Source organism: Homo sapiens, chromosome 14 (genome assembly GCF_000001405.40).
Source record: "Homo sapiens chromosome 14, GRCh38.p14 Primary Assembly".
NCBI lineage: Eukaryota > Metazoa > Chordata > Mammalia > Primates > Hominidae > Homo > Homo sapiens.
Window position 1 is genome coordinate 85,597,451 of NC_000014.9, and position 23,688 is coordinate 85,621,138.

The 23,688-nt window shown below is 39.9% G+C and overlaps 1 protein-coding gene across 6 annotated transcripts in view; it reads left to right on the forward strand.

The window, feature by feature from the left end:
- The window catches only part of FLRT2 (fibronectin leucine rich transmembrane protein 2), a 124,285-nt gene that overhangs the window by 67,307 nt on the left and 33,290 nt on the right, over positions 1-23,688 (forward strand). The gene's annotated exons all lie outside the window — the stretch shown is intronic.

The window sequence follows — 23,688 nt, forward strand, 5'->3', positions numbered from 1 at the left end:
CCATTACCAGCTAAATGGCAAAGTCTGTGAGCTTATTTTTTTCTTAAGTTGCTCTATTTTCTTGATTAGAAGCTTGATACTGGAAGTAACAAGATGTGGTCAACTTTATATATATATTTACTTAAGATGGAGTTTTGCTCTTGTTGCCCAATCCAGAGTGCAATGGCACGATCTCGACTCACTGCAACGTCTGCCTCCCAGGTTCAAGGGATTCTCCTGCCTCAGCGTCCTGAGTAGCTGGGATTACAGGCATATGCCACCTTGCCCCGCTAAGGATGCGGCCAACTTTAAGACATTTATTTGGTTTAAACAACTTGTGAGGAGTCCAGTCTGTTCAGAGACACAATTACTTCTACTTCTGTGGAAATCTAAAAACATGAGTGAATTATGTGGAAACGTGTGGCTTCAAATTGTATACTGATAGATGTTCCAGCTGAGTGGGACTGCTGAGATGATATATTCTGTTGGCATGCCTTTATACCCACAAAGTGGTTTATTTACAGTCAGAAACATAATTGTCTGCAGTTGGGAACTCATCTGAGCTGATCTCAGTTTTCAAACTCTTTTTCTTATGGCTTGCCTACACTTGTCACTATTTCCTTCAGTTGTTTCACTCAAAACTGTCAATCTAGTCACTTCATATAGACACATCCCACATCTAATGATGAAAATAATCATTGCCATTTATTGAGCACTTACTCTATTCAGGCCATTTACTAAGTAAAAACTTTGCATAAGTAGGCTCATTTAATCTTTATAAGCTTGTTGCAAGGAGATTTTGGATCGGAGTTGTTACACGATTTGCTGCATGTTTGTCCAGCACTCATTAATGACAGAGGAAGTGTTGGGACATACAAGTCTGTCTGACTGCATTTCAGAGAAAAGGGAATGATGGAGTGGGATTGGGTGAACTGTGTTTCATTCATCCTGGAATTAAACAGATTTCACAACTGAATAAAGCCATTATACGGGAATTCTAAACTTAGATTTTCAAGTGATTTTGGGGTGCAGTGCACAAGTGACACCAGATACTGGGAGCAGATTCAGAAAACCAAGTCTTCTCTATCATCCTTATCAGCCCTTTATGTCCACTGAATTCATCGTAGGGCTTGGCTTCTGATGGTGATGTTCTGATGCTCTGAGAAGTTCTTTAGAAGTTTGTGTGATCACAGAGCTGCTTCTAAGTTGGACCTCATAGGATTTTCGAGCTGAAGGAAACCTTAGATGTTATAAAATTCCTCTTCTTCCTGTTACGGTTTTAATATGCAATCCTAGATAAATGAAGTGACAACACTTCCCGTTAGTGACAGAACTAAGACAAAGATGTAGGTCTTCGGAATTCAATTTACCTCCTTCTCCTATTCAGACAGCCTCTCTTTAAAAAGCTGTGTTGTGTGATAGGTTTGATGATGTGCAACTTATTTTATATAGCTATACATTAAGATGAAATAAGAGAAATGGGATGGTTTTTTTTTTTTTTTTTTTGAGACGGAGTCTCGCTCTGTCGCCCAGGCTGGAGTGCAGTGGCACAGTCTTGGCTCACTGCAAGCTCCGCCTCCTGGATTCAACCCATTGTCCTGCCTCAGCCTCCCGAGTAGCTGGGACTACAGGCTCCCGTCATCATGCCCGGCTAATTTCTTTTTGTATTTTTAGTAGAGACAGGTTTTCACTGTGTTAGCCAGGATGATCTTGATCTCCTGACCTCGTGATCTGCCCGCCTCGGCCTCCCAAAGTGCTGGGATTACAGGCGTGAGCCGCTGCGCCTGGCCTTTTTTTTTTTTTTTTTTTTTCAAGGTGACAAGTATTGCAAACAGCTTTTGATCCTATGAATCACTATTAACTCAATAGGCTAAAAGTATTTGCAAGGTCAGAAATGGCCATATTTTGGCTGCTGCCTCTGTAAACCACTGTGAAGAACAATCTTATAAGTAGGGCGCTACCAAAGATACAACATATTTCTCTTCCTAATTCTTAAAGCAACCATGTAAAGTAGGCATTGTTATTCATATGTACCAGGAGAAAACTGTGACCTAGTGAAGTTAAATTACTTTCCAGTAATTTCAGAATATTCAGGCATTGAACACTGGTTTCTCTAATGTGTTTTCCTCTATACCACATTGGATTGAAGAAAGAAGTTTTAAGTTAGTCAGACAGCGCCATGTACAACTAAACAAACTTAAGTTGTACCTTAGCCATTAATTAATCTTTAATCAGTTCAATTACTCTTTCTCCTTCTCTCTCTTTTCTTTCCTCCCCCCGTCTTTCCTTCTTTCCTCCTTTTCTTTCTTTCTTTCTTCCCTTTATCAGTTGATTAACAAATTATACGTGTATTTTACAGGTGAAGAAACCAGGCCACAGGAAGATTAAATAACTTCCCCAAGGTCACATAGCTAGGAAGTGTTAGATCTGGGATTTAAATCCAAGATCCGAATAAAAAGGCTGCATACAGCCATGGAAATGTTAAATATTATTGTCACAGGCAGTAGAAATAAAAGTTGTTAATAGGACAGTATATGATGGGCACAATGATACCTTCAGAATATCATCTGTAAGTAATTGATGGTGTTTAGAGACTGGAGACAAAGAGATGTGACGCAAGTGCAGTTCAGCTCATTTATGGGGGTAGCTATAAATAAAGGAGGAGAGGCATGTGAGCGATGTTGTAAAAGAAGAATTGACCTCACTAATGATTCATTTGGGCGATAAGAGGAAGTAGTAGGAGGCAGCATAGGCCTCTTTACTGTAACAAAAGATGTTGATGCCATTGGTCAAAATGGAGAAGTCAGAAAAAGAGCTTGAAAGATTTGGTTTGAAGTTCCAGATGGACGTGTGTGGCTGTCGGTATCCATGGGTTTGGAAATGCAGGGCTAAATTTCTGATCAGAATGTTCTAATTGGGTTAAAGATTTGGTATCCAGACTTCTAAGATTAAAGTGGTAGCATTTAATCATGTACATTTAATCTGTGTACTGAGGAAGAGGTGCTTGGAAATAGAACTATGAGGACTGCCCACGTTTATGTGCAGGGAAGAAAACAGGCATGGTCAGAAAAAGGAAGACTCTGACAGGACATCAGAGAAACTGATGGAGGTTAGAGCTTGGGGAAAATAAACGTGGTCAAGAGAATCTAATCCTTGCAGAGAAGTCAAGGCAAAGGAAAATTGAAAGAGACCATTAGATTTTCTATTATGAAATTATATTGTGGACTTTTTTTGCAATTTCAAAAGTATTTCAGGAGAGTATAAGCTGGATTATAAGGAACCAGGGAGTAAGAAATAGAGACAATATAATTTACATGGAAGCAAAAATAAAGGTGGAGTGGGAGCTTGGGGAACTTCCAGTGCTGGGAAAGAGTTTTTGGAATAGTGAAGACCTGATCCTCTTTCTCATCAGAGAAGACCTGGTTGGGGGTCGAGTCTGTGACTTATGTGTTATGCTGCACAGAGTGTTATCCATTCTAACTGCTTAATAGATGTTCGTTGAATGACAAGTTTAGTCTTTATCAAGCCAGGAGATAGATAGGACTTTCATTTCATATTGTGTAAAAAATAGAAATAAATAAGCCATTGGAAGTCGTGTCCTACAGTAACAGGAGGGTGAGAGGGAGATTGGATGAGGGGCACAAGCTGAACCTCAGAAAGGAGAATGTTCAGCTGACCAGGGAGGGACTAAGGTACAGGAAGCAGTGAAGATGTAGGGATGGAAGCTGAAGTGCTGTAGGTAGTGTAGGATGAGATAGAAGGGAGATGCAGCATGGAAGAAACCAAGTGAAATAATGTTGCCCTGGGCAGGCGGTAAACTATGAGTCCAAGCCATCAGGGCCGGGTTGAACTCACCATGGACTAGTGGACCATTGTTGAGCCATTTTTTAAGCATTGCTTACAAGCCTCTTTGAACTTTAAATGACACAGCATGATCCTAATAAAGAGGTTCTGGAACACAGCCAGACTTCCAGGACTAAAATTATGCCCAACATCACCAGTTCCCTGGGGAGGCCACAGGCCTCTGGATAATGGAAGACAGCAGGCTGTCCTAGCAGCTGGTGAATGGCAAGCTGCAATGGATTAATGGCTTAGGGAGCAAAGCCCTGAAGACCTTCCCAGCCCATAGGAAAAAGCACAACTCTGGAGTCAGAATACTTGGGTTTGAACCCCATCTTTGCTACTTGCTAACTGGACAAGCTTGAGCAAAGTCCTGCTACTCCCTGAGCCTCAGTTTGGTCGCTTATAAAATGAGACTAATGATAATACTTGCCTTAGAGAGATGTGAGGATCAAACAAGATGCATCAGAGAAAACTTTGTAAATTCTATGCAAATATTAGATTTTAAATAATTATAATTATTACTGGTAAAGTCACAGAGATGTGGATAGCTAAGAAAGAGTACTAGCAGAAGGATTTCCCTGTGTCTGACATACTCAGCTCAAAAATGGGAAACTTTCCCTTGAGGTCACCGTGGAATGTTTTGAATATCAGGTTCTAGAAATAGTTGCTTCTGGAAGTCAGGTGGGAGTGTTCATTGTCTACCACCAACAATGATTATTGATCTGTATGAAGGAGCAGCCATTTTCACAATAGAGAATTGCTTTTTAACCATATCTAAGCCTGTGAATACAATTTGTTATTATTTATTTATAATGAAGGGTAGTAAAGTGTCTGCTTAGATATATAGTGACTTATAAATGCATTTGCACATATGTATTTACATATGCACTCTTATACATACGTACACCCTGTAAATGCATGCATAAATATGCATGTATATTACACAAAAATACACATGTACCTACTTGATTTTCTTTACTGTCTCCTGACAAAGCAATCTATTCAAATTCAGTTTCTCAAAGTAACCATTTTGCTACCACAACCTTAGAATAGTCCCTTTGCTCCGACTTGGAGTTGTCACTGCAGAATTATTCCTGGTACACTACTGGCTTTGCTCCCTGCCCAGCTTCTCAATTGGAAGGCGAGATGGCACTTCCGATTTTATTAAAGCACGCTGGAGCTCAAAGAACAAATTGGAGAAATCAGGATTGATTACGTTATGTGCTCTCTTTGTCTTCCTCCGGGTTTGTTCAAAGCCAAGTGTGAGCTTTCAAAGCCAGAGTAGCTGAATGGAGTTCTATGCTCAGCACAGGGAACTATGATTTGGCAAATGTTCCAATTATGAAGAGTGAAATGGAAAGAGTGGGCGTAATTTTGCTTTAGGAACTGCACCTTCACATCAGTGATTTTTGCCCTGTTAACTGAATAGATCTGGCAACTTATTAGGAAACAAGTTGCTGGAGTGTCACAAACGGATGGTGTCTTCTTTGATGCATGTGAATTCTTTGTGTAGGGGACCCTTCATTTCTGTTTAAAATGGAACAAATAAACCATTTGGAAGAGGTATTACATAGAAATCTACTATAACCCCAGAATAATGATTACCTCTGTTTTAGGGTTTCGGGTTTTTTTGCTTTGTTTTGTTTTGTTTTGCTTTTGGAGAATGGGGGCATTTGAGCGCATAACTTCCTTCTTTACATCTGATGGGGAATGTGAAAAGTATAAATGAAGTTTATCTTAAATGCCCTGTTCTCTTCAAATCTTTCAAATATTCCATTTAAATAGGATCTTTCTCTTTTGTGTCTGGGTATAATTTTGTTGATACCTCTTTGGCATTTATGACCATCTGCCTTAAATTATTAATTGGGCTTTCATCCTTGCCGTCCTCTCTCCTAAATAATGTGCAAGCAAGGACTTTAACTGATTTATTTCTGAATTCCCTGAAGGTACTTGGTACAAGCTGCAACAGAGAACAACGCCTGTAGAGCTATCTACAGAGAACAGTAGATAGAGGCCCCTTTGTGTCTATGGGAAAGAGGAAAGTTGAGGTTCCGGGCATCGATTATGAAGGAGAAAAAAAAAGATGTGTCATGATGCTTTCTAGAATAATAGGATTGACTGAATAACTGATAGCTTCAAAACCAGCATATAAAGAATAGCTGTGTCTGACTGCTCATTGCTGAGTGAGGTTTTCTGATAAGGATGAGATAAGGTCAGGTAAATAACTTCTGATAATAGATGATGGGATTTCCTTTTCATTCTTACCTTTCTTTCTTTTCTGTCACATCTTGTTAGGTAATTAAGACCTGGATTGAGACCAGGCACGGTGGCTCACCCCTGTAATCCCAGCATTTTGGGAGGCTGGGCGGGCAGATCACCTGAGGTCAGGAGTTTGAGACCAGTCTGGCCAACATGGCGAAACCCCACTCTACCAAAAATACAAAAATCTGCCAGGCATAGTAGTATGCACCTGTAGTCCCTGCTACTTGGGAGGCTGAGGCACAAGAATCAATTGAACCCAGGAGGTGGAGATTGCAGCGAGCCGAGGTCTCTTGCCACTGCACTCCAGCCTGGGCGACAGAGCGAGACTCAATCTTGAAACCTGGATTGAGAATGGAGAACAGATCCGAAATTAAATGTATGCATGTTTCTGGATAACATAAGGTAACTTTTCCTTGTGTCTTGAGAGTGCCATTTTTACTGTGTTAAAACATGGCTGCTTTAACAGAAATGGAAGCCCATTTCTGTTGCTTTCTTCAATATCATTTTGATGCACTGAAGAACTTCAGGAAGCCATCCTACCTAAATCTATCCCAACCTGTCTTACTAGTTAGTGAAAACATTTTTGTGGAGTATCTTGAGGGTGGGATGGGTTGGAAATTGTCACATATTTTAAGATTGAAAAGGAGCTTAACTATAATCTGCTTTGTCTCCTTTCATGCTGGTGGGTGGCATGACGCCTAGGAAAGGTAAGTGATGTGTCTGCCTTAGCGGAACATTCAGGAGTAAAATCATGACTTCCTGAGTCTTATCCAGATCTTCCTTTACTTATGCCTATTTCCTCTGTTTTCAACATTTATATATTGCCTGGTAATCGCCAATGTGCTCATTTTATTTACGTGACTAGATTACCAATTTACTAAGCACTCGAATCATATCTTTGACTTCTTTTGAGCTCCCACCATCTAGCCCAAGTCTTTGAACATCATAATTCACAGTAGTATTGTTCACTTTAAGGATTAATGATTGCTGTGGGCTGCATTTGTTTTCATAAATTGCTCTGGGTGAAGAAATTGAGAGAGAGTTGGAAAACTCCACCAAGAAAGAAAAAAAAAATCAGAAGCATTTAAAATAAATAAGCCTAGGACTGTTTTTAAAACTGAGAAGATTTTTTTTTGTTGTTGTTCTTATTGTTTTTGAAATTGGACTAATGGTAGAGGGAATAAAAGGATCCAGATAAACTAAATTGCTCTAAATAGCTGTAGTTCAGAGCAGTGCTAAAGAAATACCTTCAAAGAGTGCTTAGAAAATGGGGAAGAAATTAGTCTTTCCTGCTGTGTGTGTTGGCAGAGGGGTGAAGTGGGTGGGGGTTAGGAAGGAAAATAGGAAGACATTTGGTCCTCCCAGCCTAGTCTGGCTGTCACTCCTGTTAGTGCCGACATGATTCTTTGACACAGAGAGTTCAGAATCATCACAGGTCACAGAGAAGATGCCAGTAAGAATTCATAGCCCTTTTGGGGCCTAACTGCAGTGAACCTGGTAAATAATTCAGGCAGTCAGAAGTGCCTGGGTATGGAAGACTTTAACTGAGCGTTTTCATCTTTTCTTTTAATATCATCTCAGGCCTTTCCAGCTAATTTGATTAAAACCTACATTTCCCCACACCCCCTCTTCCTATTGTCAAGAAAGACCATTTAGGGAGCCCAGAGTTTTGTTTTCTCTCAGCTACATTGTGCTTTTGATAACTTGGAAATATAATTGGAGATTGGGAACATCATTAAGCCAGTACTGGCAGCTCTCTCCTGTGAATGGTGCTCAACACTTTTGCTTGAGTTTTGCCTCAAAAAGTCATAGATTTTCCAGATTTTAAGGCTGATAGAACCATGATATACATTTGAAAACTTATATAGTGTACATGTTACCTAATATCAGACATAATTGGGACAGTTACTTCAGTTAAATTAAGAAATCATAAAGATATTTAATAATAACTTGTGGCTGGGCACGGTGGCTCACGCCTGTAATCCCAGCACTTTGGGAGGCCGAGGCGGACAGATCACAAGGTCAGGAGATCGAGACCATCCTGGCTAACACGGTGAAACCCCGTCTCTACTAAAAATACAAAAAATTAGCTGGGCGTGGTGGCGGGCACCTGTAGTCCCAGCTACTCGGGAGGCTGAAGCAGGAGAATGGCATGAACTGGAGCTCGCAGTGAGCCAGGATCACACCACTGCACTCCATCCAGCCTGGGCAACAGAGCAAGACTCCATCTCAAAAATAAAAATAAATAAATAAAATAAAATAACTTGTACACAGAAACATCAAATTGGACATTAATTGGCCAATCTTTTGACGTACAGCTCAGTTTTCATCTATATATTTCCATAGCACCGATTGAATTCATATTATTTTCTCCCCCAAATATGTCAACCCTGACTTCCAGTTTGCTTTATTATATTGAGATGAAAGATTTGTAAGATTCTCTTTTCCCTACTTCCCCCTCCCCCGCATATACCAGCAACTTTAGCTAGCATTCATGATTTTTTCTGAACCATTCAAGTAAGTTTTCACACCATGAGTAACTCCTTTTTGTACTCCTAATATTGCCCAACCAAATATTTCTTTATATTATATAATTACAGTTAAAAGGTATAAGTGGCATCACATACTTAGGGACTCTTGGTGAGCGCACAGCTCAATGGTTAAGAGTACTGTGTGGAGGTATTAGAAGAATATTGTAGCAACCGCTAACACTCAGTATGTCATGGGCTGGTGTATTTTGTTGAGGGTGTGAGAACACAGTGTTTTCTATGATTAAATGGAATATTGGTAGGAAATTTTCTGCTACATATATCCCACCTACCTGTAATCTTGGGAAAGTTACTTAAACACTTGACGTCCCAGTTTCTGCATCCCTAAAATGGCAATGTAATATTTACTACACAGTGTGGCCATCAGAATTAGGTAGCAAATCTCAAGCACGTGGCTTGGTGCATTACACGTTACATGTTACATGTTAGCTGTTACTCTTTTTTTTTTTTTTTTTTTTTTGAGAGGGAGTGCTGCTCTGTTGCCAGACTGGAGTGCGGTGGTGCGATCTCAGCTCACAGCAGCCTCCGACTCCCTAGTTCAAGCGATTCTCCTGCCTCAGCCTGCCGAGTAGCTTGGATTACAGGCACGCACCACCACGCCCAGCTAATTTTTGTATTTTTAGTGGAGACAGGGTTTCACCATGTTGGTCAGGATGGTCTCCATCTCCTGACCTCGTCATCTGCTTGCCTCAGCCTCCCAAAGTGCTGGGATTACAGCTTGAGCCACCGCACCCGGCCGTTAGCTGTTACTCTTATTTCCATGCTTGGTAGTCTATGATAGTGTCTCTCAAACTTCTTGCATTATTACACCCCCTTCCCCCACACCCCCTGCCACCATCCGAAGGAGATTGCCTAGATTTTTTTTTTTCTAAAGATTGCCTTCCCTCATGACATTTTAATACTACAGATCTACTGTATATCTATGGATGTACTGTAGCCACCTGGAGGGACACAAATTCTCATAATAGCTAAGGTTTTTTTAAATCTCTTTTCCACAAGAACCAGTTTTTATCCCGCTGGAGAAGACGCCATATGCTCATTGGGAATGCATGATCTATTGGGTTATAGATGATTGCGTTTTTGCTCAACCCAAGCCATCAGAGCACCATGTTAGAAGAGGGTTGACTTTCTAATGGGGGATTGAGCAAGTTTTGACCCAAGAGTCATGCTCCCTCCTCTCCTGGAAGTTTTCCTGCCGAGATGGAAGCTTAGATTTGGGAGCCAATGGTGCAGAGGGTACAGTAAGGGATTGATGCACATCAGTGATTTTTAGAGTCTGGGAAAGCAATTAGAGTTAGGCGATATGACTTTTCTTAATAACCACTTAGCAGCAGTTTTCATTTTTGTTAATGGATTGTCATTGAAGATTCAAAGTCATTATTCATTGAACAGAAAAGTAGGGAGTCAGTGGATTCTTGCAACAGCTAGGGGTGGGATCACAGCACCAGGGAAAAGAAAGTTTTCGGCTCCAGGAAGAAATGTTTTTGGGGAGGCCTGGAAGCTGAGATTGAATTCAGTGTGAATGTCCAGAAGAAGGACTTGCCTTCAGTTTACAAACAAGTTTTTGCTTTGCAGTCCTTCTATGAGAGTTGGTTGTAAGTGAGCTGTTTCTTAATCACCTTGTGTTGTAATTAGTTGTGGCATGCTTGTCTTATGTATTATGCATTTTATGTGCTTTCTACTGTATTAAGAAATCAAGCGTCTCTGTATGAGTCAGCTCATACTGCCCGAACAAAGTACCACAGACTGCACAGACTGGATGACTTGAACAACAGAAATGTATTTTCTCACAATTCTGGTGGCTAGGAGTTCAAGCTGTCGGCAGGGCTGGTTTCTTCCTAGGCTTTTCTCCTCAGATTGTATTAATAGATAGCCATCTTCTCTTCTCTTGGGTCCTCACATGGTCTTCCCTCTGTGTATGTCTGTTTCCTAATCTCCTCTTCCTGTACAGACACCAGTCATATTGGATTAGGCCCCACCTTAATTACTTTATTTTAACTCGATGCTCCCCTTAAAGACTCTGTCTCCAAATATAGTCACATTCTGAGATACTGGGGGTTAGGACTTCAACATATGAGTTTTGGGTGGGAACAGTTTAGTCCATTAACAGTCCACTGCCTCTCATGTGTTTGCTTGATAAATGATTTTTTTTTTTTTCTTTTTTGAGACAGAGTCTCACTCTGTTGCCCAGGCTGGAGTGCAGTGGTGTTATCTCGGCTCACTGCAGCCTCCACCTCCCGGGTTCAAGCAATTCTTCTGCCTCAGCCTTCCAAGCAGCTGGGATTGCAAGAGCGAGCCTGCCACCATGCCTGGCTAAATTTTGTATTTTTAGTAGAGACTGGGTTTCGCCATTTTGACCAGGCTGGTCTTGAACTCCTGACCTCTAGTGATCCACCCGCCTCGGCTTCCCAAAGTGCTAGGATTACAGGCATGAGCCACCTTGCCCAGCTGATAAATGATTATTGAATAAGTGAATGAACAGATGAATGGATGGATGGATTTTTATTTAATTGTGGTAAATCTGTTGAATTAGTAACTCTAGCAATATTCGTGAGTTAAGTCATAATGTTTCTTAAAGTTTTTGTGTTTCTTCCACCCTGAAGATATGCTTAACAGATGACATTCTTCAGCAATGTTTCTATTTATTCAGGAAGTATGCACGACCCTTCTCTTCTTGGAGGCAGGTCTGCTCGTCATGTGAAGAGCCACTGCCCTCAACAGGCCCACGCAAACATTTGCCAGCGTCCTGAGCAAGAACATGGGGAGAGGCCTGCTTTAGATCTAATTGTTCAAAAGCTACAAATCTCATTAGCAAGTTGTTTAAAAAGTGTAGGCACTTTGCCTATTGTGACCCATCTGGCTTCCAGAATATCCTGGAAGGCCAGGCAGATTTGACCTTAGAATTCTCAAACTCTACCAAATACAGAACAGAAAGTGGCAGTGCAGGGATAACTGGTCCAAAGTCTCTTCCTTTCCCACTGAGGTTCCGTCCTGAAACCCAAGAGGCTTTGCACACAGACACCCCAGCTCTGCACTCCTCCTTCCCAATCCGAACAAGCTTAGAAGTGTCATAACCTCAGGAGGACAGACCCAGTGGAGAGGTCCTCCAGGGCCCTGTGAGAAAGTTGGAGCCAGGAAATTCTGGAATCTGGGCACCCAAGATGGAACCTAGAAGGAGCAATACAGGCTTTGGATGGTCATATCCCTTTGACCCTGTGCGTTCCTTACCCTGATAGGAGGGGTGTTGGTTGTAGGTCTAAGGTTGGTACTGTGGTCAATTTCAGCTTTTTCAGGAACTCTCACTGGTTTTGAGATTATTCCCATATTCTGAATTCCCTGCAGAATGGTCAAGAGAGTTGGGGAGATAGAACATTTGGAGAAAACACTAGAGTCAGAGCGTAGCCACCTGCAAAGGTAGTTAATGGAGGTGGCTGTTTCACCGGGAATTTGTTTCATTTAGTCTTGACCTCTTGACCCTGAATACCTAGTTTCTGCACCTGTGAGTCCCCCCAAAAGACAAAGTAACTCCGTTAGGAGACTTGGTTCTAGAAACATATGAGCATATTTCAGGAAGAACCAGAGCATGAGTGGGCACCTGCACGCCTTAAATGGGGCCTGCCCTCTGCAGTGAGCCATGAGCTGGGGGAGCAGCCCCGCACCTCTATTCTCAGGTGAGACAGGGTCACCTCTCGTGAGTCACACAGCCCAGGCAGCCTTCTAGAAACGTGTCAAACTCTATTGCACTAGTAACTTTTTTATTGCTAGGGTCACTAAAAGCCACTTTTTCAAATTATCGGAGGTTGTTTGCCAGGCTGTGCACAGAACTTCAGAAGAAGGAAAAAAGCCAATGGTTTTCTTCACCACACATAGAATAATTTATAGGTAGGGACCAATTTACTTGCTAGGGAACAGTGGGTGGCCTGTGCCTTCCCCAGTGGAAGGGACATTATGCTAAGCAGGGTGGCAGGCTTCAGTGCTCATGATAGAAGTCAAGAGACCCTTCTAATTAATTACATGGCTGTCTTTACCCAGCATGGGTTCCTCACTTTCTCATCAAAGACCTTGTTTAGTCAAAGCTGTATTTCTTTTATTTATTTATTATTTATACTTCCTCTCTTTCTAAAGAGAATTTGAGACAGGTGGAAAAAAAAAAGTGTGGGGATGTTCGCGAGAAGAGACTCTCTGAAATGGGACATTTGAAGAGAGAATTCTGACAGAAGTTCAGAGCATACTTTTCTTCTCCAGGCTCTTGTTCTTGATAAAATTTCCTGTTCTACTTCATCATTACTTCTCAAGAACTTCTTTCAGCTCTTTATTGGCTAGATCCAGGTAGCGTCTTTGATCTTTACCTTCTCACCATACCTTCCCTGCAGGCTTTTCATTGCCGTGAGAATAGAATCTAAATGGATTACCAAAGCCATAAAGATTTGCCTGTTTAAGTCCATTAAAACTCTTGGCCCTATTTCTGCACTTTGCCTTCTCATTTCTCATAAAATTTCTGAGACACACCAGTCTTTCAGTTCCTGCCAGAGCTAAGGCTCTCCCTTCCTTGTATCCTTGTGCCTGCTCTTGCCTAGACCTGGACTTACTTATTGGCCTCTCTTCTCCTGAGCACCATCATTCTGCACCCTGAATCCCCCATCCTTAGCAAATCCTCATTCTTTAGGAATCCCATTTTCTAAGTTGCCATCTGTGACTGCCATATTTAAATCTACCTGACACACACCATTATCATCGTCTATGACACTTCTTTATTTCCTTCATGACGTTGCTTACAATTTTATCTTTTCTAATCTCAAGTTTTGTAGTTTTAATTAATGAATTTTTTTTGAGACAGAGTGTCACTTTGTTGCCCAGGCTGGAGTGCAGTGGTGCAATCTCGGCTCACTGCATCTTCTGCCTACTGGGTTCAAGTGAATCTCCTGCCTCAGCTTCCAAAGTAACTGGGATTACAGGCACCTGGCACCACACCCAGCTAGTTTTTGTATTTTTAGTAGAGACAGGGTTTCACCATGTTGGCCAGGCTGGTCTCGAACTCCTGACCTCAGATGATCCACCTGCCTTGGCCTCCCAAATTGCTGGGATTACGGGCCTTCTTGCTTTCTAAACATAGCACCTTCCTGACTGTAGGGACTTTATCTGTCTTGCTCACCTGTGCGTCACACGGGCCTCCTGCTTCATCAGACACAGTGGCCACTCAACAATTGCCTGATGAATAAATGCATGAGAAATACTAGTTTTAAAGAAAGGTCTGATACACTTCACTTGGTTTGGAATGTTTACCAAAAACCTTTGCTTTTCTAGAGAGGGTTGCGGGCTAATCCAAAAGAATTGGTTTATAATTATGAAATTTTAAAAAGCGTCAGAGAACCAACAAGGAAAGATTTTTGAGGAAATGGAGGCTCATCAGGAAAGCACAACATGTGAAGTTGTTGCCCACTCACATGTCTTTTTCCTTGACCTGTTTCTAGAATGTGTTGTCTCAGACAGCTGACCTGTCTTGGAGATGTAGTACTTTATAAGATGAACCAAGTATGATCCTCCCAAGGACCAGGGCCTACAGTCCAGTCAAGCTTGGGAGTGTAGCTAAGGGAGGAATGAATAACCCACTGTCATTTCAAGCGTAGGATTCTCTCATCACTCTCACTGTTTTAAATCTTCTTTATCATCACAGATTTTACATTATTCCCTTATGTATGAATGTTATTTTTATTGACCATTGAAGATTGGAACTTTTTTCTGGAAAAACATCACATGGTTGAGTCAAGGATGAAAAGTCAAAACTACCTTTTCATGTGAGGGGAGAGAGAGAGAGAGCGCGCGTGCGCGAAAGCGTGTGTGTGTGTGTGTGTGTGTGTGTGTGTGTGTGTGTGTGTGTGTATTGGGACCACCTTTCAGCTGTGTTGCCTCCCTCTGGTGGCCATTATATGCACAAGGCCTGGGTGACATGGACTGAGTCAGAATGTAACTTACTTTTCAAAAAAAAAAAAAAAAAAAAAAAGACTAAGTCATTGTGTGCACCTGAGTTTTTAAAATTATTATTGGTGGGAACTCTTTAAAAAAAGAAAAAAAAAAACACAGTTAAGTGGTTGAAATTGATTAGCACTACAAAAATATGAGCTTTTTGCCTTTGGGGTAGAGTTTGAAAGCTGCCATGGCCTTCAATGAAAGCAGCATTCTGGTTGTGTATAAACCTGTAAAAGGATCTGCCTGTATGTTTAAATTCTTCTGTGTTTGGAGAACACATCTCAGAATTCATTCACATAATCAAGGCCACCACTATAGATTATTTTAAAGGTAGCTTTTAAAACCTGTTGTGTATTTTCAATATTCTCCTTCAAATTATTCCTTAAGAGTATTGTGCAACCACAGTGGATATGATATTGAGGCAGCTTATCTGGGTTTTATTTAAAGCTTTAGAATGACTCGATTTGATCTTAACCCATTTCTAGTCATGTTCTTGGGGTGGGTTGGGGGGAAATGTCCTTGAAAGAAGGAGAGGGTCAAGGATAATAAGCAATACTAATTTTCTTCTGTTTCTTATCCCCTCTTGTTCCTCAAATCCAGAAATAGTCTCCTGAACATAGCCTGACACCTCAGCATGACAGGTGTTCTGAAGATGAGAAGGCACATTGTAAAAACCTATTTATTCAGTGAGGAAATTTTATACCATTTACATTCAGAGCCATCTCTATGATACCAAAATAGGCTTAAGCAATGAATTTTTCATTTTTTAGACTCAAAACCAGATAACTCACCTGGAAATACACACTATGTAATTTCATTTCATGGGCCTAATCAATATCTTCGACCGAAATGTGTATTCCTCTTGTGAAGGAGACATAAGATTTTCTGTTTTGTTATGTATATTACATATGTGCAATATTAGGGTAGGGAAGTAGGCCTTGTTTATATTTTTGGATTGAGTTTATTTTTTTCATAAGCTTTTTTATAGCTCTCAAAGATATTGGCCTATTTTACGTTGATTCTAACTGTGTGGAATGGTAAAGTAGTATGCAATTAAAGTTCGGTTGAACTGTCACATTGAATTTATATAAATATTTAAAATATATTGTTATTATATAAGTAAAAATTCATATTTTTTGTGATAGATCACGAATACTTAGTTGATTTCAGGTCACAGCCATCATAGAACTGAACTGTTAGGTACATACATGCCTCTGAACAAACCAAGTATGTTATGTTTCTGAGTGACCCTATTTCTGCAGTACTATAAGTCAATAAGAGCATGGAATTTGATGTTATTTGGTTAAAACAAATATAGTGCTGTAGTAATTGCAACTATTTCCTAGTTGCATGTTCTATGCCTTTTACAAAGGTCATCTAGTTTCTTTATGCCCAGGGACTATTCATCCATCGCTCTATCTATCCCTCAATCTTTCCAGATAGCTTTAGGTAGCTTAAAACTCTTGAAAGCTATTCTGAAATATTATCTCACTGATTCCTTATGGGACCTCAGATTGAAGATGTCAAAGAGTTTTTGCAGACTACCTTTTCAAACAAAGTAATCATCTGAAGGTCGTTCTTTGACTCGTTCATTTGTGTTACAAACAGATCTTGAATGCCTGCCACGTATGGCTGTAGGCTCTGGGGAAATAACGGTGAGCGAAAGCAGACCAGCCTGTCTGCCTAGAGCTTACAGAGAAGCAGGACAGAGGTTAGGAGCAGGCCCTGCAGCCCATTCCTGAGTTCAAGTCCTAGCCCTGTCACTTACTCACTGATCAACTTCATAAATGTCTGCACTTATTTTCAGGATTGATGGAAGGAAGATGTATATGTATATTACCAAAGGAAAGAACTATGATCAATGAATGAACAAGGAAAGTAAAAGTTGATGGATTCAGTACAACCAACTCTCTACCAAATTAGGGACAAATGCTCCCCGGCACAGGAGCTTTTGTTGTTGTTTAAAGCTAATCTTAGGAATGACCAACATAAAGAGTGTGTGTTTTCCACATGTTAGGCAATGTTCTAAGTGATTTACAGCCCTCTAACAACCGTGAAATATTAATACTATTATTTTCTCCATTTTATATGAATTAACTGGGACATAGAGAAGTGACGCAGTGTGCCCAAGTTAACACAACTGGGAAGTGGAAAAGCTGTTCAGGTCCTCTGTCTCCAGAGCCCAGCTCTTGCTCATAACACCTTTTCTACCTCTCTTAAACCAGTTTATTGAGTGCCTAATTGGTCCTCTTAGTTACTTTATATGATTTATATCTAATCCTCCCAACAATTTCCTAAGCACAGCTGATTATCCCCTTTGAAATTAAAAAAAAAAGGTAAAATTCAGAGAGGTTAAGTCAGGTGCCCTTTGTCATGCTGTTAGGGAATGGAAGTGCTGAGATAAGAAACTAAATTCTGACTGACTCCAAACCCTCAACTATTTCCACAACATCAGATCAGACCCGGAAGAGAGAAGGACCAGTTGTTTCAATTCCCTGAAAGCAATTCCTGATAGGGAGCGGCTGGGTGGTCAAACGTTAGTGACTAATCATCAGCCCCACTTGGGAAAGTTGACAAATTGCACCTGACCCACCTCCTTTGCAGACCTATGAAACCACAATCTGCAGGGGTGGGGCCCAGAAACCTTCATTTCTCATCACTTTCCCCTAGTGTTTTTAATGACCCTCAGGTTTGGGGAACCACTGTACCAAGTGATGAGGGGGAAATATTTTTCCCAAAGGTTACTGTCTAAAAAATCAGTTATTTTCTCTGAAACATAAGATGGTTGGTATCTGTTTGAGCAAATGAATGAATGTTATGAATGAACTGAATTATATTCCTTTGAAATGGATTGAAAGTACATAGACATTCACTGTAGAAGATACATCTGTTATGGACCATATACTTTTATATCTTATTAGTACTCTCTCAATTTATTTGCCTCCTGAAATTCTGCTCTACCAGCTTCCTTTTACTACCGGGGACCAACTACCCAACCAGTTGCTATCAGGAATAGCTTTCAGAGCATCAAGACAGTTGGCTATTCTTCTAGATCCAAACACCGTGCAGGCAGTAGTTGACGTGGAAAGAGGCCACCCAGTCCTGCAGTTCCAGATTTTAAAGGGAGCCAGGGATGATCAGTGGGATCTCCCTCCCAGTGGGCTGAGAGAGGCAGGTAGCAGTAGTGAAAGTGTCTTCAATTTCATCCATTTGAATTTATAACACTGGTTATTTGTTCTCAAGTTACCCCCATTACTCCAACCAATTGGAAACCATGTGAGAACAACGCTTCAAATGTATTAGAATATTTTGTGTTTGCCAAGAGCATAGCTTTTCCTTTTTGGTCTGATTTTAATGTTTTCAATTTTAGACTGACTGGAGCCTGGAAATGGCCAACTGTTTAAACAAAGTGTTTCTTTTCTTTTCTTCCCTCCTCCCCTCCCTCTCTCCTTCTTTCTCCTTTCCCTTGTTTCTTTCTCTTTATCTCAGTAAAGAGAAATATCTGCCTAATGATCAACTTCCGGGGGCTTGGTTGAAGTTTAGTGAATGAGATAGAAAAATGGTTTCAGGCTACGGGGTGGCTATTGATATATGTTTCCCTAAATTCCTTTGCTAATCCCCACACCTTGGTCAGCTAACTATAGGACTCTCCTGATTATTGTGCAAACAGTAGAGAATTCCTCTTCAGTATAGCTTTCTCATTGTATCACTTCATGCACTGTGCTGCCTTGTCACAATTCAGCCAGTGCTGAAACCATTAAGATTTTATTAGGTTTGTCCTTGTCATTCTATTACGCGATTGGCAATGCTTATTGACAATTCTTATTTTCTGTACTATGATTTTTATAGTTTTAGTTTATTAAGTGCTCCTGGAATACAGGCTCCTGGAATTAATTAGAAAAAGAAAAAACCTTCTTAGGCAGCACTAGGAGAGAAACACTGAGCAGAAAGCTATAGCATGACTTTCGTGCTTTGAGTCTCAGTTCCTATGAAAAGAGTTAAATTACAATAAAGTAGCCTGGAATAGCTGCTGGTTTTTACTGTCATCTTTAAGAGACTGGCAAGGACGGGTTCTTGCTGCCCCCAAAGAGCATTTTTTTTGCATGTTGATTTATACTCAGGCTTTTGAAGCTATGGTCTCCTTTAAATGAGAATTTCTGTTTTTACCTAGCACCTGCCATTAAGCCATTCTTTATAATTTCTAGTTTCCTGGAGAGGAAGCAACATATTCAATACAGTATTCACACAAACAGGGAAATATTTAAAAGACAAAAAAAAAAAAAACCCTTTTCCTTTTGATATTTGAAATTCATCTTGTAAAGCAACTATTTTTATCACCAACATTTAGACTTATAGGTGACATGCCCAATGATTTTGAAACATGAGTTCGTTTAATATCTTCTAGAAGCACGACTACCTCAGTGAGAAGCGGACAGAGAGTTGGGAGAAAGTATTGTGCAGTTAACATTTTTTTCCTTCTCTCAGTTGAGCTGGGATTCATCTCTGGCTTCACATTACAAGCAGCTTGGATCTGTGTGCAGAACTTACATTTCTTCCCTGGCTTGGGCCTCTCTATCCTTCCGATTTTCACAGAGCCATCCTTTGCCTGCAGTGTTTTTCCTGATACCTCATGGGCTAGGGTAGAACTCTTTCCACAGGACCATGATTACCTGATGCTCTAGGGTTAAGAACTCTTTACATAGAACCCTAATTCCCTGCCTACTCATTTTTCTCCCCTCACTTAACTTTTAAGCCTCATGAGCCAAAAACTACATCAGCTCTGCATACAGCTGTATCCTCGTTCTAGTGCTCAATAAGTATTGGTTCAATAAATGAATGGAAAGTATATTACATTTTCATGCTTTTTGATGTCCATGGGAGAAGTATTTTTAGGTTATGTTTATTAGAAATTTATCTTAATTTTCTCTAGAAAATTGTGGCAATAAAGCCAACTTTCTAAAGCACTTGTAAGAAGGTGTGTGTAGATCATCGGTTCTCAACAGTTGGCGATTTTCCCACTCCAGGGGACATATATATGGCAACATCTGGAGACATTTTTGGATGTACACCACAGCCCCAAAGCACAGAATTATCTGGCACAAAATGTCAGTAGTGCTTAGGCTGAGAAACTGGGGTAGTTGGAAGTGCATAAAGCTTGGCAGGTCAAAGCTGATTTTATTTTGTTCTACACAGTGGAATTCAGCTCTTTGGATATCATTAATAATAACAATTACATAGAGAACAATCAGCATTATTATGTTCTTGCCATGTACAGACATAAGCTTTTCACAAGTATTATTTTGTTTAACCCTGTCAACTGTGCTGTGAGTTAGGAACTATTATTATCATTTTTCAGATAAGGAGACTAAGACTTGAAAAGAGAAATGTGTACTCAAGATCCTGCTGCTACTTGGTGATAGAAGTAGGATGAGAACTCAGGATCTATGCTTGGTGACCATTATACATTCTTTCTCTGTAAATATGGTCCCCAACTTAAAGTCTAAAAGGATCGCTGCCTTCATTATTCAGTAGGAACCACAGCTGGAAATGCAAAGAAAATTTAAATTTAAAAATTTAAATGTAGAAAATCATTATGGCTTAGGTGGTTGTAATTTTACCAATATGTATACTGATTGAAACAAAAATAGAGTGCATTCACTGATAGGTGTAAGCTGCTGTTGATACACGGAACAGAACAAATCTGCTACATGCTGTTATTTTGTGGGATTCCCAAGAAGGTCAAAGAAAGCCCTGAGAGTTTGTTTTCATTCAAAATTGAACTTGTCATAGCCGATCAACACATTGTGGTCTAGATGGGACTTTTCTCCTATTAAGGTATATGAACAGTGACAGTTTGCCCCATGTAATCTTATTAGGAGCTTTCTTCAGAACCACATCATCTTCTTATATAATTACAAAAGAGCCACTCATGAGTAAAATATGCCTGCAAGAGAGCAAGGCCTGGGGGCAAAGGGTTGGCTGATGGGGGCCTGTTCTCTCCTTGCAGAGGACACAGTTCAGGAAATGGAAAATTTACGATCTGGATGCATAATAATAGTTTCTAGGCCCATCCCTGAGTACTTGGTTTGCTCCCAGTGTTAATGTCCTTGAGGCTGTTAGTTGATGAACTCTAAGCAAACACCATCATCCTCAAGTATTGATTTGTTTCTTAGCCCCTAATACTTGGCCTATAAGACAATGTAGAAGTATCTATTCTTTTTACATATGAACTTAGAGACCCTGGTGCTGCTGTTTTTCTCTCCTAGGACATTCTTTTCAGTGGTTGCTTCTATCACACTTTGAAGATGCCAGTAGAATACTTAAAAACATTACATTTTATTCTTTAGTCTCACTTTCCTATCTCTTGTGGAAGTAATTATTAATAGCACCAAACTGTTTTTTATTCTTAAATGTTTTACAAAAGTGGGCTCCGGTGATGACAAGTAACTCTTTAATGTCCTACTAGGCATTAGTACTTGTCATCTAGATAAACATTTTCTGTTAAGGCCAAGTGTCGTACATAGTCATTGCACTGCTCCACCCAGAAGATGTAATTTACATATAAGATGTTATTTGAGACTGTCTCCCGGGGACAAAAGTGATTAGTATGCCTTATCTCTTCTCAAAAGAGTCATGTAACATGCTCTTGCATCTATTTTACATTTAATAAATTAAAACATGAATGATTAAATAAGATGTTCATAGTGCTTCACAAATTTGAATGCGCCCATCCCAGGCTCTCGCTAACATTCTGGGCCTGAGGTTTAGCTTTTCTACCATCTTGCCAGGTTAGGCTCATGCTGCTGGACCAAGGACCACACTTGAGTACCAAGATGTTAGGGAACATTAAGATGGTTTGAAACCTGAGCTAAGGATGCCATCAGGCTGATAGCATTAAACTCATTTTTCCTATGCCACCTCAGTTATATAAATTATTCTTTAAGTTTATAGAGAGGTTTCTTTTGGAAGGAATGGCATCCTTTTCAGCAGCAAAATGTATATTAGGTTTTGTAAAAAATTAAATAATGCTTGACTTTTTTTTTTTTTTTTTCTTTTTGAGGCAGGTTCTTGCTCTGTCACCCAGGCTGGACTGCAACAGCATGATCTTGGCTCACCTCCGCCTCCCAGGCTCTGGCAATCCTCCCACCTCAGCCTTCAGAGTGGCAGAGACTACAGGCTCATACCACCGCACCTGGCTAATTTTTCTAATTTTTAATAGAAATGGGGTTTCACTATATTGCCCAAGCTGGTCTCGAACTCCTGGGCTCAAGCTATATGCCTGCCTCAGCCTCCCAAAGTGCTGAGATTACAGGTGTAAGCCACCACATGAAATCAAGCCCGGCCATGCTTGATTTTTAATAAAGCATCGTATCTCTCTATTTTACCTGAAAAAAGATCCCCTCCCACCCACCTTATATTTCCGAAACAATAAAAAATGAGTTTTACCTTTTCTGGTCATCGAAGGCATTTTTTGAGATGGCTTAACAATCTTTTAAATTATAGAACACATTTACAACATCCTTGACACTTAAATAACATTTCCAGTGTTCTTTTTTTCTTTTTTAATTATATTTCTAAAGATAGCTAAGAGAACAATTTCAAATAGTTCCTCTATGCTTTTAGATGTAAGTTGTTTCAATCTCCATGTATTGGTGAGAATTAAGAGACTTGCAGTTCGCCATGTCCTGTCATGTTAGCTTATTTTGTAGGGAAATCAAATCTGGCACCTTTCAATTAACTTCTTTACCTCTCTAATCTAAAAACAGATAGAATACATTCTGGAGCAAGAAGGCATGATTACTATCTGTGGATTGCCTTGACTTCCTCAACTGTGTCTTCTGTCATTTCGAAATTTGCTAAAAGACCTCCTATAAAAGCAGGAAAGCACAGACGGAAGGAAGGTGGTGCTGTTGAAAAATAATTTACCCCTAGTCGTGAGCTTGGCAACTCTTCAAGGGATCACAATGGTGTATCTCATCTGGACCTAGAGGTCTCGAAGGAGGAGATAAGTGGAAATGTTTTGTGGGCTGGAGCTTAGTCATTCTCCTCGGTGACTTGAGGTGCAAGCTATTTTGGAGGAAGATAAAGAGGAAGGGAGACAAGAAGTGGGAAAGAAAAAAGTCTCTCTGCCTTCATACATGCTTCTGTTCACTACGTTTATACTACTTTTTTTTCTTTGAAAAATTTTTTCTTTGAATTTCTTTTTTTTCTTTGAATGATTGTTTTAAATCATGTGGTAATGTGGTCATGACATATGTTAGGTAACAAAAAGAAAAATAATGATTCCAATTTTGTTAAGTATATGTATAGAAAAAAGGAAAGTAAGCAAATCGATCAGTTATCTTTGAGTGATAATATAATGAATAATCTTTATCACCTTCATACTGTGTTCTTTATATTTTATTCTCTAAAATTTTCCATTAAGCATGAATAAGGTTTTGTATCAGAGTTTTAAAATACATTTTAAAAGGAAATGGCAACTTATTCAGCTACAGCTTTTTTATAACATAGTATATGAAAGTTCATATCTAGTAAATGTATTTGGAAATATAATACATTTGGAATAACTTTTCTGTAAGGATGCATCTTTTTAAGTGACTTTATTAGTCTCCATGTTGCATTTTTAAATATATAACTCTGCAGGGCTTCACATTTTCCCCTTCACTTTTGCTAGCTGTCAGTCATCACCTCTACCTTGAAACTAGTCTATGACCAGTAGGATTTGTAGATAATTATCATTAACTGATTGAGTGGATTCAGCAGTGTGCCTGTTGTAATTAAGTGTTTGGATATGCAAATAGATAAAGAATAGATAAAAGAGAAGGTACTGATTAGGATGTTAAATTCACAATATGATGGTTGATAGTGACAGGTAATAGCATGATGTCCTTTTGAAGATACTATATTAATTATTTCTTGAATACCTTTTCAAGTAAGTTACTGTTATTTGAAATTCCACTTAATGCCAGCCCTGGCCCCTCAACATTTCATCCCAATCTCGTTGTTTTTGAAAGGCTCAGAGTCATATTGGGCACTTCTTTCATTACTGCCTTTAACTGACCATTTCCTCTTTTCTTTCCTGCAACAG